The following is a 19,072-nucleotide window of genomic DNA, read 5'->3' on the forward strand; positions in this document are numbered from 1 at the left end:
TAGTCCTTAGCTTACCTGGCCAGTGCAGTTCAACAGTATTGTTGTGCCTTCTGAAACTTTTAATAAGTGGAGATCAAAATCACCAGTGCTATTCATTTTAAGAAATTGCCTCAACTTGCGAGCAGCACGGAATAAAAACATACCTTCCTATTATAGGAAAAAGTCAGAAGGGCCATGGTTCAAATAAAATATTAAGAAATTATAAGCTTTCTTAAGGAGCCTAGAGCTTGAGCTATGTTGCTAGGTAATGCCCCGCCTCCACCCCAGCTTTCTATTCCAGTTAATCATGTGATTGACAAGTAACAGAACTAAAACTGTTTGGCTCCTAGGTGACAGCATGAAGTTCTTAGAACTTGGTTTAATAATTATCTTGACTTTTAAAGTTTGTTTTCTCTATTATGCTTATGTGATCTTATCGCTTATGTGTGAACATATTAGAAGATTATTCAATTTTAAACATGATAACCGAAGGAGAAGACTTCTGGAAGCAACAATGTATTATAAGAGGTATGTGTGGTTTTTTCTTAGTATTTCTTGCATCTTTTGAGCTATGGAAGAATAGCTGATAATAAGAAAATAAAGGACTGTAGTCACCTAAAACATAAGTTTTGCAGATATTTAAATTAAGAAATTTAAAAAAAAGAATTTATGGTTGTGAGATGCCATGAGGCTAACTTAGCTACTGTGAGTTTTTAAAAGACTATGAAATAGCACACTTGTTTCTGTAGGGAGAAATGATATAAACTTTTTAGGTTTTTTAAAGTGTAATATTATACCAACTAGATGTGGTAATCATTTAGAGATAAGCAAATATTGAAAGAAAAATTTTCAAGACGCTTCCAACTAAATTATACCAATGACTTATATTTGTATGTGTGCAAGCATTCACATTAACAAGTATTTTTCTGTATAAGAAATTTAGAGGCCAGGCACCGTGGCTCACGCCTGTAATCCCAGCACTTTGGGAGGCGGAGGCAGGCGGATCATGAGGTCAGGAGATCGAGATCATCCTGGCCAGCATGGTGAAACCCCGTCTCCACTAAAAATACAAAAATTAGTTGGGTGTGGTGGTGCATGCCTGTAGACCCAGTTACTCGGGAGACTGAGGCAGGAGAATCGCTTGAAACCAGGAGGCGGAGTTTGCAGTGAGCTGAGATTGCGCCACTACACTCCAGCCTGGTGACAGAGCGAAACTCTGCCTCCAAAAAAAAAAACAAAGAAAGAAAGAAAGAAAGAAAATAAGAGATAGGTGTGTCTTTGAATTCGACAATTCTAGTATTTTCAAGGTAAAAAATAGAATGGTGAAACAAAAAAAACTTGTTATTTAATAAGCACAGGACTATTTGTAAAACAAAAATATAAAATTGGGCCATAGTATGATTTAATCAATGGGAATTATGTGATCAGGCTGCAAATATTAATAGTATTCATATAATTGTCTAACAGAGGCACAAAAAATAGAAGCTTCTATAAAATCAAGCTTGAATGACAAACTCCAAATAATTATCATTACCTTATTAGCATCACAGATATGTCTTTTAAAAAAGTTAAATTCATTATTCAGGCAATTGCTACCAATTTCTTTCATGCTGTCCTGTAATAAATAACATAAAATAATATGGTTAAAACTGAGTACTTTTCTAATATCTTGTAATTATAAAAAATAATAATCTTATAATATCTGATATTTATATGTGCATTTTAAGGAAAATAAGTTTTGCCTGGCTCAGCTGACTAAGCATGAGGAATCATTTTCTATAGTTGAAGGATAAATAAGTGTATACACAAATCCTCCCATATTTAGAGCCCCTCCCAGATCCCATAATTGAATCCCAGAATTCTCTAAGAGAATCTGGCTCATCTAGGGAAATAGAAGTACCTATTTTAGAAGTTATGCTTTATAGACAAAGTATTATAAAATGTGAAGTCATTAAGTTGAGATGAACTTAAGAGGTTATTCAGTCAAATTTCCTGCCATCAACAAATAACAAGAAAAGGAATTTATATTAGAATGAAGGGATCCATACAAAGCTCAACACATAAGAGAAAGAATCACAAATGTATAACATACCTAAACCCTTTACCCCTTCATATCAGTTGTCTGTTTTACACTCTTTTCAGTTGAGCTGAGACTACAGGCTTATAATCAACATAGTATTTTCAACAGTCACAACTAATTAATTGGATGTGCAAGGAATATAAAACCATCTGCATTAGTACTTTGAAATTGACAGTGAGAATTAAGGTTGAAATTTGTTCACAACATTTTTAGCAATCCAATTTTCTGGGATGGTTGAGGTAGAATTTTCCTGAGACAGTGTAATTATATGTGTGTATTATAAACATAGGAGTGAGAAAGCAGACTGATATGTGCGCTATTTTTTTTTTCATTTACAAGGAATGTAGTAGAAGAAGGTAGAGATTATCTAAATCAATAATTTAGTTGATATTAGGAAAAACCTCCTAAGGTTTCAGATTTTCTTATGCACCGGGTTGGACTAGCTCTGTCCAGCAAACTAGCAACTCCATGCTATCAGAGCTTCTGGGACTGAAAGCAATCTTAGCCTATGTAATGTCTCCAGAGAAACAGGATAAGAAGTGGAGCAATGGCAGGATTTAGTCATGGGCTTTGAATCCTCATCTGCCTCTCAGAAAAGTATTCATTACTCTTATCACCTGTGAAAAGCATGATGATGTCTGGGTTTACCCTGATTTTAAAATGTATATACTATCAGCTTTATCTGCAAGAAGTGTCTGAATACATACATCTCAAGTGTAAAAGATACATTTTCAATAACTATCTTCACATTGCCATTGTACATATTCCTGAAAATTTAGTGGATAATTAATATTTGCCTATTAAGTCATTTTCATGTTGACTTCCCCATACCCCAAGGACAATAACTCATACATAATTTTTTCTTTGATAAAACATAGAGTATTTAATTTTTACCATGTCATCCTTCAAAAAAGAAGGTGAAACGTGTAGCTACTCTATATGTTATCTTCCAATTCACCAAAAATATCGTATGAGACAATATGTCACATAATGAATGCCAATTTCTTGCAACATGTTAGCAAATTGCATGACACATGAATATTTAAAAAGCCATATTGGTTAGGTGGCTGTTCTAGGTTATTAATAAAACTTATTTTTGGCAGATCCACAGAAAGATAATGTTATACCAGTTGATTATTTTTTACCTAATGCTTGATATGGAATGTAAATGTGTTACTATACCCTTAAAAGGTTGACTCCTATAGAGGTCACAGTTATTAATTCATCGACCTTAGTACATTTTATTAATGCATCTAATATAGATCTATATGATTGCCAATTACTGTTGCTTTCTAAAATTCTTTTCATTCATGCCCTATCAGAAGAATGGCTCAGAGTAAGAATTATAGATACATGGTGTTGAAAAGAAACTTAGATGGCCATCTTTTGATTTAACAAAGAATAGAATTACTTGACCAAAGTCCCAATAATTGTTTCTTATTCACATGTCACATATGTCCAGATGCAAATAAGAAACAAATCACAGCTAGGCATGGTGCCTTATGCCTGTAATCCCAGCCCTTTGGGAGGCCAAAGTGGGTAGATCGTGAGGTCAGTAGTTCGAGACCAGCCTGGCCAACATGGTGAAACCCCATCTCTACTAAAAATACAAAAAAAAAAAAAAAAATTAGCCGGGTGTGGTGGCACATGCCTGTAATCTCAGCTGCTTGGGAGGCTGAGGCAGGAGAATCGCTTGAACCTGGGAGGCGGAGCTTGCAGTGAGCTGAGATCACGCCACTGCACTCCAGCCTGGGCAACAGAGCAAGACTCTGTCTCAGAAAAAAATAAAAAATAAAAAGAAACAAATCATATATCACATATGTCAAGATGTACATAAGAAACAAATTTCTTCAAATATTTTATAAATATGGAAAATCAGAAGAGAAAAGCCAGGATTATAAGACTGAACTGCAGTATTTTCTAGTATAAAACATGACATTGGCTAAGTTCTTTTTTTTAGGTGAAGTTATTTTTTAATACTTTTGTCTTTTAACTCTTATAGTAGAGGAAAAGTAACTTATAAACTATAATTACAGTATACACTTAATTACATACAAATTCATTACAGCCCTCTGAATTTGACTATATTTTATCTTTATGGTGAATTTTATGCTTTATCTTTACAGTGAGTTATATGCTTTCATATCTTTTCATGTTTTTAGTGTCTTTTTCTTTCTCTATTTTTTAAACATTTATTTTAAGTCCAGGGGTACAAGTGCAGGTTTGTTACATAGGTAAACTTGTGTCATGGGTTTTTTTTGTATAGATTATTTCATCACCCAGGTATTAAGCCTAGTATCCATTAATTGTTTTTTGATCCTCTCCCTCTTCCTACCCTCCATCCTCCAAAAAGCCCCAGTGTGTATTGTTCCCCTGTATGTGTCCATGTGTTCTGATCATTTAGCTGCCACTTATAAGTGAGAACATGTGGTATTTGGTTTTCTGTTCCTGCATTAGTTTGCTAAGGATAATGGCCTCCAGCTCCATCCATGTCCCTGCAAAGGACATGATCTCATTGATCTCATTCTTTTTTGTGGCTGCATAGTGTTCCATGGTGTATACGTACCACATTTTCTTTATCCAGTCCATTATTGATGGCCATTTAGTTTGATTCCATGTCTTTGCCATTGTGAATAGTGCTGCAATGAACATACATGTGCATGTGTCTTTATAACAGAATGATTTATATTCCCTTGGTTATATGCCCAGTAATGGGACTGCTGGGTTGAATAGTATATCTGTCTTTAGGTCTTTGAGAAATTGCCATACCATCTTCCACAATGGCTGAACTGATTTACATTCCCACCAACAGTGTATAAGCATTCCTTTTTCTTCACAACCTTGCCAGCATGTTATTTTTTGACTTTTTAATTATAGCCATTCTGACTGGTGTGATATGGTATTCCATATTTCTCGGAGGTTTTGTTCATTCCTTTTCATTCTTTTTTCTCTACATTTGTCTGCCTGCCATATTTCATTAAGCTCTGAAATTCTTTCCTCTGTTTGGTCTATTCTACTATTAATACTTGTGATTGCATTACGAAATTCTTGTAGTGTGTTTTTCAGCCCTATCAGGAGGATTAAGTACTTCTCTATACTGGCTATTTTGAACCCTTGCTGGAGAGGTAATGAGGTCAGCTGGAGGAAAGAGGGCACTCAGGCTTTTTGAGGTTTCAGCATTCTTGCTCTGATTCTTTCTCATTTCTGTGAGCTTATCTAATCTACCTTCAATGTTCGACGTTGCCTACCTTTTTTTTTCCCCCTGGCACAATTTGGCCAATTTTCCATAGGGCTGCTGTGGTTTGCTGGGGGTCTACTCCAGTCCCTAGTTGCCTTGGATTTTCCGGTAGCTGAAGGTATCACCAGTGAAGGCTGCAAAACAGCAAAGATGGCAGCCTGCCACTTCTTCTAAGAGCTCTGGCCCAGGGAGGTATGAACCTGTTGCCAGGTGGAACGCACCTGCAGGAGGTGGCTGGAGATCCTGGTTGGGAGGTCTTGCCCAGTCAGGAGGAAGAGGATTGGGGACCCACTTATAGAAGCAGTCTGGCCATGCTTTTGTAGAGCAGCTGCGCAGTGCTGGGGTAACGCTTCACCGCCTGTTGGCTTGGGCTCTCCAAAGCCCACAGGCTGGACAGGTTCAGTACCCAAATAGCAGAGATGTCAGCCCACCCCTCCCTCTGAGACCTCTGTCCCAGGGAGTTTTCAAATCTCTGTAGGCCAGAGAACACCAGCGGGGATGGCTGGAGGCCCTGGTTGGGAGGTCCTGCCCAATAAGGAGGGATGGCTCAGGGACCTGCTTAAAGAAGCAGTCTGGCCACGTGTTGGTAGAGCAATTGTGCTGTGTTGGGGGATCCCTTCTGCCCGATCGGTTTGGACTCTTCAAAGTCTGCAGGCTGAAAAAGGTGACTTGCCCAAACAGTGAAGATGGTGGCCTTCCCCTCTCCCTGGGAACTCTGTCCCAGGTAGGCACAACACTGCTGCTGGTGGCTGGCTGGAATTCCAAGCCAATGTGTCTTATCCTTTGAGGCACCATGGAAGTAGGGCCTACAGACCATCGCTGCTTGGCCCACTGGATTCAGCCTCTTTCCTAAGGGTATGCACAAGGATCTAATCTCCTGCTTTTCTGGAGTTGCAGTTACTTTTGCCGGGAAGCCTGAAGGTGGAATATCTACAGTTCCTGGTTCTCCAACATGTGCCTGAGCAGCTTCTCTGCCAAGACTCCCGTATCTCTGTGTATTAGACTGAAAGCCCTGATGGAGTGGGTTCAAGAGGGGATCTCCCAACTCGAGGTTGCAAAGATTCGTGGGAAGAGTGTGGTTTCCAGGGTCACACATTCACTCACCGATTCTCTGGGCAGGGGAGGTTCACCTGGCTGGGTGTCGTGCCCAGGTGGGCTGTCGTCCTGCCTTTGTTTTCTATGTTCTCCATGGGTCAAGTTGTTTCCTTGATTAGTCCCAGTGCGAGTACTTGGATGTTTCAGTGGAAGGTGCTGTATTTACTCGCCCTTTTGTCCCTCTTTGTGAGAGCCACTCACACGAGCTGCTTCTAGTTGGCCATCTTGGCCACTTCCCCACTCCTTTTCTTTCAAGTTCTTAAAATACATAATGTTCTTTACATTTGTAGAATTATATCTTCTTTAATTTCAGCATAGTTTTCTTCTATCTTTGAATTTTTAAATTACATTTTAAGTATCTTCTTTAGAAACACTAATTACATAAAAAATGAATCTTCTATTGAACTTTTTCTTTTCGTGTATGTGTGTACACACGTATATATACACAAACACACAATTTCGTTTTGTGTGGTTTTTACCCATCCTGTCTTTCATATGCCTGTTTTAATGGAGTATTCATTTCTGGTTTTTATTTTAGTCTCTGTATTTCTCCAAAATCCAAAGAACATTTGTTTCTTTCTGGTTTCTTTCATACTATATTGTTTTTAGCTCTTTTTACATTGGTTTCTTAGAGACTTCACATTTTCCATTGCTTTCATGGATAATTAAACTTTGGTCTAGATACTTCATTTTCCTTTTGCCTATTTTGTGTTAATTCATTTGTTCATTTATTTTGCTAGTACCAGTGCATAATTTTCCTTTTAAATTTTGTGATTATTTTTGAAAAGATGCTAAAGTAGAGTAGATTATTGTTCAGCCAGTATTTAACATCTAAACTCAACAAATGAGAGGATGTTTTCATTCCATATGGCTGATGTAACAAATTACCAAAAATTTGGAGGCTCAAAACAATAAAAACTTATTATCTCACATTTCTAGAGGCTCTGGGAGAGCATGCATTGTTTGCCTCTTCTATCTTCTGGTGTCTGCCAGCATTCCTTAGTGTTCCTTGGCTTGTGGCCTAGTGGCTCCAGTCTCTGCCTCCATCTTCACATCACCTTCTTTGTGTGGGTGTCAAGTCTTCTCCTGCTTTTCTCTTAGAAGGAACTTGTGATAGCATTTAGGGCCCACCAAGATAATCCAAAATAAACTTATCACACCAACATTCTTAATTCAATCACATCTGTAGATTCCTTTACCTTATACATTTTCAGATTAGAATTTTTTTATCTGGGTGGCCATTATTTAGCCTACTATAGAGAAGTATGCTCCTCTGTCCATTAATGTTGAGTTTGTCCAAAAGACATGTGGTAAGAAATTGATGCTTTCAGTACAGTTTCTGTGGATCAAGAATTTGGAAGCTGCCTAACCGGGAGCTTCTAGTTCATCTTTCATGAGGAGGCAGTCAAGATGTTGGTCATGTCTGTAGTCATCTGGACTCCATCAGGATTAGAGGATCTATTCCCAAGATGACCTATTCATGCAGGTATTGGCAGAATGCCTCAATTTCTCACCACATGAGTTTCTCCACAGGCTTTCTTCAATATCCTTCCAAGATAGTTGCTGACTTTCCCCCAAGTATCAATGTAAGAGAAAGCAAGGAGGAAGCCATGTCTTTTATTACATGGAAGTCACACACTGCCATTTCCTCATTATTCAGTTGCTTGCAGTGAGTCACTAATTCTAATCCACACTCAAGAGGAGGGAATTTAAGCTGTACCTCTTGTAAGGTGGAGTATCTTTGTGCATATGTTAAAACTCCCATACAGCTGCTCCTTCCATCTTATGACTTAGAATGAAACACATGGAGGTAATCGAACTCAGCCAAACTGCATACCTGTGAACCTAAGGTAAATGCATATTACTGTATGCCTTTCTCTCTTTCTGTGTGTGTATGTGTTTGTAGCAAAAACTGACTGATAGAGAACTATTGCTTTTTAGATCAACTAATTGTCCAAAAATAAAGGTGGAAAAGGGCAAAGGTAATGAAATGAAACAGCTGTTCATTCTTACCCAATTTCTGTATTCTTTGTGATAGGACAGTTTTCTTCTGAATTTTTTTCATATTTTTCTTTTCAGGAGAGAAAGTCAATATGGTTCACAGTTACTCTTCATGGTCACATGTGCTAGAGCTAGCAAACGAATGTCTAATTATTGCTCATAGCTGATTGCTGCTTCCTTTCTGTTCTTTTTTCTTTCTTTTTGTAGGGCTGATTCTAAGGATTGGAAAGTTTTGGCATAGAATATATTCAGTCTCATGTCTCTTGCTATAAATAAAGTTGGTCCCTATAGAAATATACTTCATTGCTTTTTTTTTTTTTTTTTTTTTGAGATGGGGTCTGTTGCCCAGGCTGGAGTGCAGTGGCATGGTCTCGGCTCACTGCAACCTCTGCCTCCTGGGTTCAAGCAATTCTCCTGCCTCAGCTTCCTAAGTAACTGGATTCCAGGCATGCACCACCAAAGCCAGCTAATGTTTATATTTTTAGTAGACACTGGGTTTCACCATGTTGGCCAGGCTGTCCTCAAACTCCTTACCTCAAGTAAAGTAGAAATATTTTTCATTTCTGATCATCACTATGACAACCTATCCATGGCCTTGTGCCATCTGAAGCCTTATTTAGGGGGCCTTTTAAAATGCGCTGCTTATTTTTTAGAAAATCTACTCTGTATGAAATTTGAAAAAGGTGTATATTGTTCCTGGAATTCTATCTCAATTGCTACAATTTTTACCATTTGTCAGGTAGCTTAGCAGATTATAGTATGACTTATTAGTTAATTCTTAGTTTAAATTAAAGTCATTTATTCTTTGATCAAATATTTGAGCATTTACCATGTGCCATTTAGTATTAGGAATACAACAGGGATCAAAATCATACGTGGCTCCTTCCCTCAAGAAGTTTATTATTTGGTGGCAAAAACATTAATCCAATAACAGCAATCAATTCCCAACTTGAGAACTGTTATGAATACAAGATATATGCTGCCATGAAGCCTATACAAGAAGATTTTACTTAAAAACCTCAATGAATACTTCCCGGAGAAGGATACTTCACAAGAGATCTCAATCATAAGTACCTTAGGGAAAAGGGGGATTCAGTAGCAAATAGTATAGGTGACTACTTTGAAGAGAGAGGGATCATGGCCTGTATGTGGCTAGAAAGAAGAGAGCAAGGGAAAGTAGGAATATGGCTGAGAGAGGAAGAGACAGAACTGGTTTGACATAAAGCCAGAGCTGGAAGAGACCAAATTATGTGTGGCCTTAAGGATATTTTAAGAAGTTTTGTATCAATCCTAAAAGCAATAATTAATGTATTTGTACTTACAAACATGGGAACAGTTTTTCTAGTTTACTTTTTTCAATGGTCATATTAACAGCCATATGCCAGATGGTTTGGAGAGATTCAAGAAAGTATATGGGTGAATCTTTATGAGGCTATTACATAGTCAGTGCTTAACATAATTATTTATTGCACTTGATAGTAAGAGAGAATCTAGAAATACATGAATAGATTTGAGAAATAAGCAAATTTAATGTGATTTGAAAATAAAAATTAAGCAAGATGGACATATCAAGGATCATTCTTGAGTTGTCTGGTGAGTACAACAAAAGAGTCAGATGCTCCTTAACTTACAATGGGTTTACATTCCAATAAGCCCATTGTAAATTCAAAAATTATAAGCCTAACTATGGTAAGCTGGTTACCATCAGTATTGTGTTGCCATTGAGATAGGAAATAGAAGAAGAGGTGGAGTGTATAAATTATGTGTTAGGTTTTAAACAGATGACGTTTGAGCTGACTTTCAAAGATTCAGGAACAGATGTCAAATAGACAAATAGTAAAGCCAGAGAGTTAGAAGGAAAGCCAAGAGAATGGATTGTTTTGAGGAAGTGGTGGTCCATAGTAAATGCCAATTAAAAGGTCAAGTAAATTGAGTCTTGTTCAAAATTTATCTACATAAAGAAAACAGCTAAAATAGAAAAGAAAGCTAATAATGGAATGGTAAAATAGATGATGGAAAATAAAATAAAATATTAAGCAGATATATTTGTTTTCAGGTAATGTTCATAAACAAGTGGTAAATCTATAATAAAACATTAAGAGAAAAAGGTACTATGTAGAAGCCTATATTTAAATGTGAATGCATATGTAGACACTTGAACACACTTATCTACCAGAAGTTTAACTGTCATTTAACTGACTTTCTGGATGATCAATAGTTTCTATTCCTTCTGTCAAAACATATTCACTAATGCCCAGAGAACAATGAAGACTCCAAACTAGTAGTTTAGTTTCTTATGTACTCGTGTATATTTTCTCCCACCATTTCAGTTGCTTATTGACTAAGTCAATTCCTTAACACTAAGTTATACTTAGCATTTAATTATAATACTTAATACTATATAAATCAATAAAATATTAGTATAAAATAGTTGTTTTGAGAACTTCTACTTTTCCATTTGGCATATAAGAAGCTTAGAAGTTGCCAATCCATACTTAAAAGTAAAAAGCTAAACCCATTAAAAAAAAATCAACAACTCTTCTTAGATCAGAGAAGTGAGGTCACAGGGCAAACCACTGCCCTAAAGTTGGAGAGAAAGAGAGGATCCCCAAATTAGAGAAACAGATAGAACCACAACTTACTGAAGCAGAGATCCATGAGCAGAAACCTCCATAGCAACCATTGTGGGGGTAGAAAAAATTAAACTGTAATTGGCAAATTGCTGAAGGCTCAGTGTGAAACAACTTAGAGAATTAAAAACTCCAAGGGTACCCAGTCATAGTTGTGGGGGCTATATACTTTTATGAGTTTGATCTTTAGGAGCTCTAACTACTAGGTCCTCACAGTAAGTATCAGATGAGAAAGTCCTCTTGTGCTTCTGGTAGGAGGAGGGGAAAAAACTATTATAAAATAAGCCAGAGGTGGGAGGATCACTTGAGCCCAGAAGTTTGAGACCAGCCTGGACAACATAGTGAGATCCTATCTTTACAAACAATTACAAAAAAATTAGCCATGCATGGTGGCACATGCTGGTGGTCCCAGCTACTCAGGTTGAAATAGGAGCATCACTTGAACCCAGGAGGTCAAGGCTGCAGTGAGCCATGATTTATATCACTGCACTCCAGCCTGGGTGACAGTAAGACCCTGTCTCAAAAAAAAAATACTAATTTCTAAAAAGCTGAATAGTCTGTTCTCCTTTAAAGGGCCTAAACTCAAGGGTGACTATTTTACCAGAGCCTAACCTTCTGAGGTTTTATCAGAGTCTGATCTGCCTGGGGAAAAAAATACCCAGCTCAAGGGTCCTCTAGTTTTTCACATGTTGGAAGGCTGCCCTGTACCACCTAAGGAGGGGAAAAAAAAGAGCAGCACTGAAAGTTCACAGTCCAGGTCACAGGCTCGCCAAAAGACTAAGACCTAATCACAGGCTTATAGAACACATCCCCTTTTTCCACACCGTATTGTGACATCACTAAAGGCCTGTTTATCACAGTTTCTTTTACTCAGAACATTATAATCAGCTATGAAAAAAAAAATTACAAGGCATACTAGAAGGCAAAACACACAGTTTGAAGAGCCAGAGCAAGCATAAGGACTAGACTTACCTATGGCCATGAGGTTGGAATTATCAGAACAGAAATCTTTTTAAAAGTCTATGATTGAGGCCAGGCGTGGTGGCTCACGCCTGTAATCCCAGCACTTTGAGAGGCCAAGGCAGGCAGATCACGAGGTCAGGAGATCGAGACCATCCTGGCTAACACGGTGAAACCCCGTCTCTACTAAAAATACCAAAAAATTAGCTGGACATGGTGGCGGGCACCTGTAGTCCCAGCTACTCAGGAGGCTGAGGCAGGAGAATGGCGTGAACCTGAGAGGTGGAGGTTTCTGTGAGCCGAGATCGTGCCACTGCACTCCAGCCTGGGCAACAGAGCGAGACTCCGTCTCAAAAAAAGAAAATAAATAAAGTCTATGATTAATATGCTCAGAGCTGTCAGAGCTGTAATGAAAAAATTAGACAACAGACAAGAACAGATAGGAAATTTAAGCAGAGAGATTAAAATTCTAGGAAATAATTTTAAAATGATAAAGATCAAAAACAGAAAGAAAATATGCCTTTGATGGGCTCATTAGTAGACTTCACATAGCTGAGGAAAGAATCTTGGAGTCTAATGATAGGACAACAGAAACTTCCAAAACTGAGAAGCAAAAATTCAAAAAAAAAAAAACTGATAAAAAAGAACAGAATATCTAAGAACTGTGGGACAACTACAAAAGGAGTAGCATACATGTAATGGGAATATAAAAAAGGAGAAGAGACAGAAAAAGAAAAATCAAGGGATGAAGAAAATATCTAGAAAAGAATGCAAAGTGGAGAAAAGAAACAACTTACTTATAGAAGAGCAAAGATAAGAATTACATCCAAATTCACCACAGAAATCATGCAAGCAAAAAGAGAGAGGAATGAAATATTCAAAATGTTAAGAGTAAAAAACCAGTGTTTAAATTATGTACTCTGTGAATTTAGCCTTCAAAAGTGAAGGAGGAATAAAGCCTTTCTCAGACAAACAAAAATTGAGAGAATTTGTTACAAGTAAACCTGCCTTGCAAGAAATCTTAGCAGAAGCTATTCAGGAAGAAGGAAAATTACATAAGTTAGAAACATGGATCTAAATAAAGGAAGGAACAACATCAGAGAATAAGTGAAGGTAAAATAAATACTTTCCCTTATTTTTACTTTTTTTCCTTTTATTTTTAGTTGACACAATAGTCGTACATATTTATGGATGACACAGTGATATATTTCCATATGTGATATACAATGTGTAATGATCAAATCAGGGTAATTAGCATATCCATCCCCTCTAACATTCATCATTTCTTTCTGTTATGAACAATCCAAATCCTCTATTCTAGCTTTCTGAGCATATACAATAAATTATGGTAAACTATGTTCACCCTGCAGTGCTGCAGAATGCCAGGGCTAATTCCTCCTATCTAGTTATAATTTTGCATCTGTTAACCAACTTCTCCCTATCGTCCCCTCCCTCCTACCCTTTTGTGCCTTTAATACCCACAATTTTATTCTCTACTTCCATGAACTCAATTATGTTTTAGCTCCCACATATAAATGACAGCATGTGGTGTTTATCTTTCTGTGACTGACCGATTTGGCTTAATATAAAGTCCTCCAGGCTCATCTGTGTTGCTGTGAGTGACAGGATTTCATACTTTTTTTATACCTGAAGGTTATTTCATTGAGTGTATATATACTACATTTTCTTCATCCATTTGTTTGTTGATGGACACCTAAGTTAATTCCATGTCTTAGCCATTGTGAATACTGCTGCAATAAACATTAAGTTACAGGTGTCCCTTTAATAGACTGATTTCCTTTCCTTTGGATAACTGCTTGGTAGTGAGATTGCAGGAGCACATGCTAGTTCCATTTTTAATTTTGTGAGGAAACTTCATACTGTTTTCAATAATGGCTGTACTAATTCACATTCCCACCAACAATTCCAATGGTTTCCTTTTCTCCACATCCTCATCAACACTTATCTTTTGTCTTTTTGATAATAGCCATTCTGACAGGTGTGATAGCTCATTGTGGTATTGATTTGCATTTTTTTCCAGTGATTAGTGATCTTGAGCATTTTTTCTCATACTTATTGGCCATTTGTATGTTTTAGTTTCATAAATGTCTATTCACATCCTTTGCTCACTTTTGTTTTATTATTATACTTGAAGTTCTGGGATACAGAACGTGCAGGCTTGTAACATAGGTATACATGTGCCATGGTGGTTTGTTGCACCCGTCAACCCGTCATCTACATTAGGTATCTCTCTTAATGCTATCTCTCCCCTTGTCCCCCACCCTGCGACAGGCCCCAATGTGTGATGTTCCCCTCCCTGTGCCAATATGTTCTCATTGTTCAACTCCCACTTAGGAGTGAGAACGTGCGGTCTTTGGTTTTCTGTTCCTGTGTTAGTTTGCTGAGAATGATGGTTTCCTGCTTCATCCATGTCCCTGCAAAGGACATGAACTCATTATTTTTTATGGCTGTATAGTATTCCATGGTGTATATGTGCCACGTTTTCTTTATCCAGTCTAACATTGATGGGCATTTGGGTTGGTTCCAAGTCTTTGCTATTGTGAATAGCTGCAATAAACATATATGTGAATGTGTCTTTATAGTAGAATGATTTAAAATCCTCTGGGTATATGGGATTGGTGGGTCAAATGGTATTTATAGTTCTAGATCCTTGAGGAATCACCACACTGTCTTCCACAATGGTTGAACTAATTTACACTCCTACAAACAGTGCAAAAACGTTCCTATTTCTCCACATCCTCTCCAGCATCTGTTGTTTCCTGACTTTTTAATGATCGCCATTCTAACTGGTGTGAGATGATATCTCTTTGTGGTTTTGATTTGCATTTCTCTAATGACCAGTGATGATGAACTTTTTTTGATATGTTTGTTGGCCGCATAAATTTGAAAAGTGTCTGTTCATATCCTTTGCCCACTTTTTGATGGGTTTGTTTATTTTTTTCTTATAAATTTGTTTAAGTTCCTTGTAGATTCTGGATATTAGGTCTTTGTCAGGTGGATAAATTGCAAACATTTTCTCCCATTCTGTAGGTAACCTGTTCACTCTGATTATAGTTTCTTTTGCTGTGCAGAAGCTCTTTAGTTTAAATAGATACCATTTGTCAATTTGGGCCTTTGTTGCCATTGCTTTTGGTGTTTTAGTCATGAAGTCTTCCCATGCCTATGTCGTGAATGGTATTGCCTAGGTTTTCTTCTAGGGTTTTTATGGTTTTAGGTCGTATGTTTAAGTCTTTAATCCATCTTGAGTTAATTTTTGTTCTAAGGCATAAGGAAGGGGTCCAGTTTCAGTTTTCTGCATATGGCTAGCCAGTTTTCCCAGCGCCATTTATTAAATAGGGAAACCTTTCCCCATTTCCTGTTTTTGTCAGGTTTGTCAAAGATGGCTGTAGATGTGTGATGCTATTTCTGAGGCCTCGGTTCTGTTCAATTGGTCTATATATTTGTTTTGGTTCCATTACCATGCTGTTCGGTTACATTTCCTTTGAAAACTGGTACAAAACAAGGATGCCCTCTCTCACCACTCCTATTCAACATAGTATTGGAAGTTCTGGCCAGGGCAATCAGGCAAGAGAAAGAAATAAAGGATATTCAAATAGGAAGAGAGGATGTGAAATTATCTCTGTTTGCAGATGATGTGATTGTATATTTAGAAAACCTCATCGTCTCAGCCCCAAAACTCCTTAAGCTGATAAGCAACTTCAGCAAAGTCTCAGGATACAAAATCAATGTGCAAAAATCACAAGCATCCCTATAAACCAATAATAGAGAGCCAAATCATGAGAAAACTCCAATTCACAATTGCTACAAAGAGAATAAAATAACTAGGAATACAACTTACAAGGGATGTGAAGGACCTCTTGAAGGAGAACTACAAACCACTGCTCAAGGAAATAAGAGAGGACACAAGCAAATGGAAAAACATTCCATGCTCATGGAAAGAAGAATCAATGTCGTGAAAATGGCCATACTGCCCAAAGCAATTTATAGATTCAATGCTATTCCCAACAAGCTATCACTGAAATTCTTCACAGAGTTAGAAAAAGCTACTTTAAATTTCACATAGAACCAAAAAAGAGCCCGTATAGCCAAGACAATCCTAAGCAAAAAGAACAAAGCTGGAGGCGTCACGCTACCTGACTTCAAACTATGCTACAAGGCTTTGCTCACTTTTTAATCAGGTTTTTGTTGTTGTTTTGTTTTGCTGTTGAGCTGTATGAATTCCTTATATATTCTGAAAATTAATCCCTTGTTGGATGAATAATTTGCACATATTTTGTCTCATTCTATAGGTTGTCTCTCCACTCTGTTAATTATTTCCATTGCTGTGTAGAAGTTTTTAGTTTAATACAGTCACATTTGTTTCTTTTTGTTTTTGCTACTTGTGCTTTTGAAATCTCAGCCACAATATCTTTCCCTAAAAATGTTCTGAAGCATTTCTCCTATATTCTCTTCTAGTGGTTTTATATTTCTGGGTTTCATGTTTAAGTCTTTTATCCATTTCAAGTTGATTCTTATATATGGTGAGAGATAGGGGTCTAGTTTCCTTCTTCTGCCTGTGAACATCCAGTTTTCCTAGCACTATTTATTAAAGAGACCATCATTTTCCCATGTATGTTCTTTCATATTTGCCAAAAATAAGTTGGCTGTAAATACATTGATTTATTTCTGGCTTCTCTATTCCATTCCCTTGGTCTATGTGTCTGTTTTTATACCAGTGCTATGTTGTTTTGGTTATAGCTTTGTAGTATATTTTGAAATTATATAGTATGAGACCTCCAGCTTTGTTCTTTTTGAGCAGTATTGCTTTTGCTATTCAAGTCCTTTGTATTTCCATACAAATTTTAGGACTGTTTTTTCTCTTTCTGTGAAAAATGTCATTGGTATTATGATAGGGATTGCATTAAAGTTGTAGATTGCTTTGTGTAGTATGGTCATTTTAACAATATTAATTTTTCCAATCCATAGGCATATTATATCTTTACAGTTGTTTGTATTCTCTTCAGTCTTTCATTAGTGTTTTGTAGTTTTCATTGTAGAGGTCTTCACCTCCTTGGTTAAATTTATTTCTAGGTTTTTATTTTTATTTTATTTTCCTGGCAAAAATTGTAAATCAGATTGCTTTCTTGATTTCTCCTTCAGCTAGTTCATTATGATATAAAAAAATGCTACTGATTCTCGTATGTTAATTTTGTATCTGGCAACTTTACTGAATTCATTTATCAGTTCTAAGAGTTTCCTGGTGGAGTATTTAGATTTTTCTATGTATAATCATGTCATCTGCAAAGAGGGACAATTGACTTCTTCTTTTCTAACTTGGACATCTTTTATTTCTTTCTCTTGCCTAATTGCTCTGGCTAGGGCTTCCAGTGAGATGTTGAATAGGAGTGGTAAAAGTGGGCATCCTTGTCTTATTCAGTTATTATAAGAAAGACTTTCAGTTTTTCCTCATTCTGTAAGATGATAGCTGTGGGTTAATAATATATGGCCTTTATTGAGTTGCAATACTTTGTTTCTATGCCAATTTGTTAAGAGTTTTCATCATAAAGAGTTCTTGAATTATATCAAATGCTTTTTTTCTGTGCTAGTTGAGATAATCATATGGTTTTTGTTCTTCACTCTTTTGAAGTGATGTATCACATTTATTGATTTGTGTATGTTGAACCTTCTTTGCATCCTTGGGATAAATCCCACTTTATTATGTTCTATTATTTTTTAGATGTGTTGTTAGATTCAGTTTGTTAGTATTTTGTTGAGAAACTTTGCATATTGGCTTGTAGTTTTCTTTTTGGTTGTCTCTTTATCTGGTATTGCTATCAGGGTAATGCTGGCTTTGTAGAATGAATTAAGAAGAATTCTCTCCTTTTCGTTTTTTTCTTTAAGAATAGCTTGAGAAGAATTGGCATTTGTCTTGCTTTAAAAGTTTGGTAGAACTCAGAAATAAAGCCATCTGGTCCTGGGCTTTTCTTTTTTGGGAGAATTTTATTATTGATTCAGTCTTGTTACTCGTTATTGGTCTGTTCATGTTTCCTATTTATTTCTGGTTCTGTCTTGACAGGGTAGATGTATTTAGGAATTGATTCATTTCCGCTAGGTTTTCCAATTTGTTAGTGTATAGTTGCTCAAAATAATCTCTGATAGTCCTTTATATTTCTGTGGTATCAGTTGTAATGTGTGCTTTATTTGTTTCTGATTTACTTATTTGGGTCTTCTCTCTTTATTAGTTAGTCCAGCTAGTGGTTTATTTTTTATCTTTTCATCTCCTTGGTTAAATTTTTTCTAGGATTTTATTTTTATTTTATTTTCCAAGTGGTTTATGTTTATCTTTTCAAGAAATAAAATTTTGTTTTGTTAATAGTTTTATTATTTAGTTTAGTTTAGCTTTTAGTTTCTATTTCCTTTTTTTCTGCTCTTTATTTTTGCCTTCTTTGTATTAATTTTGGGCTTGGATCCCTCTTGCTTTTCTAGTTCCTTGTGGTGCACTGTTAGGATGTTTATTTGAAATCTTTCCACTTTTTTGATGTAGATGGCTATTGCTATAACATTCCCTCTTAGCACTACTTTTACTATATTCCATAGGTTTGGGTATGTTGTGTTTACATTTTCATTTGTTTCAGATTTTTTTTCATTTTGATCTTCATTTTTTCATTAATCTAATGATCACTTTGAAGCCTATTGCTTTATTTCAATGTATTTGTACAGTTTCCAAAATTTCTCTTATTATTGATCTATAGTTTTATTCCATTGTACTCTGGGAAGGTACTCAACATGATTTTGATTTTTAAAAATTTTTTGAGACTTGTTTTGTGGACTAGCATATGGTTTATCCTGAAGAACGTTCCATGTGCTGGTGAAAAGAATGTGTATTCTGTAGCTGTTGGATAAAATATTACGTAAATACCTGCTAGGTCCACTTGGTCTATAGCACAGATTAAGTCCAATATTTCTTTGTTGATTTTCTCTCTAGATGATCTCCCCAGTGCTGAAAGTGGGGTGCTGAAATTTCCAACTCTTACTGTATTGGAGTCTATCTCTCTCTTTAGCTCTAATAATATTTGCTTTATATATCTT

General features: G+C 36.5%; 1 protein-coding gene across 10 annotated transcripts in view; it reads right to left on the minus strand.

Moving 5' to 3' along the window:
- The window catches only part of IL7 (interleukin 7), a 130,420-nt gene that overhangs the window by 63,445 nt on the left and 47,903 nt on the right, over positions 1-19,072 (minus strand). For 4 of the 10 annotated variants that reach the window (XM_011517523.4, XM_011517522.4, NM_001199887.2 and 1 more), the window contains exons 3-4: positions 1,514-1,594; positions 16-147 (exon numbers count right to left, since the gene is read on the minus strand). In XM_011517523.4, the coding sequence (XP_011515825.1) occupies positions 16-147; positions 1,514-1,594 (213 nt within the window). Of the gene's footprint in view, positions 1-15; positions 148-1,513; positions 1,595-8,405; positions 8,609-11,035; positions 11,803-19,072 lie in introns of those variants that run through there. The other 6 variants (NM_001199888.2, NM_001199886.2, XM_047421768.1 and 3 more) reach the window with 5 other exon arrangements.

Source organism: Homo sapiens, chromosome 8, assembly GCF_000001405.40.
Source record: "Homo sapiens chromosome 8, GRCh38.p14 Primary Assembly".
NCBI lineage: Eukaryota > Metazoa > Chordata > Mammalia > Primates > Hominidae > Homo > Homo sapiens.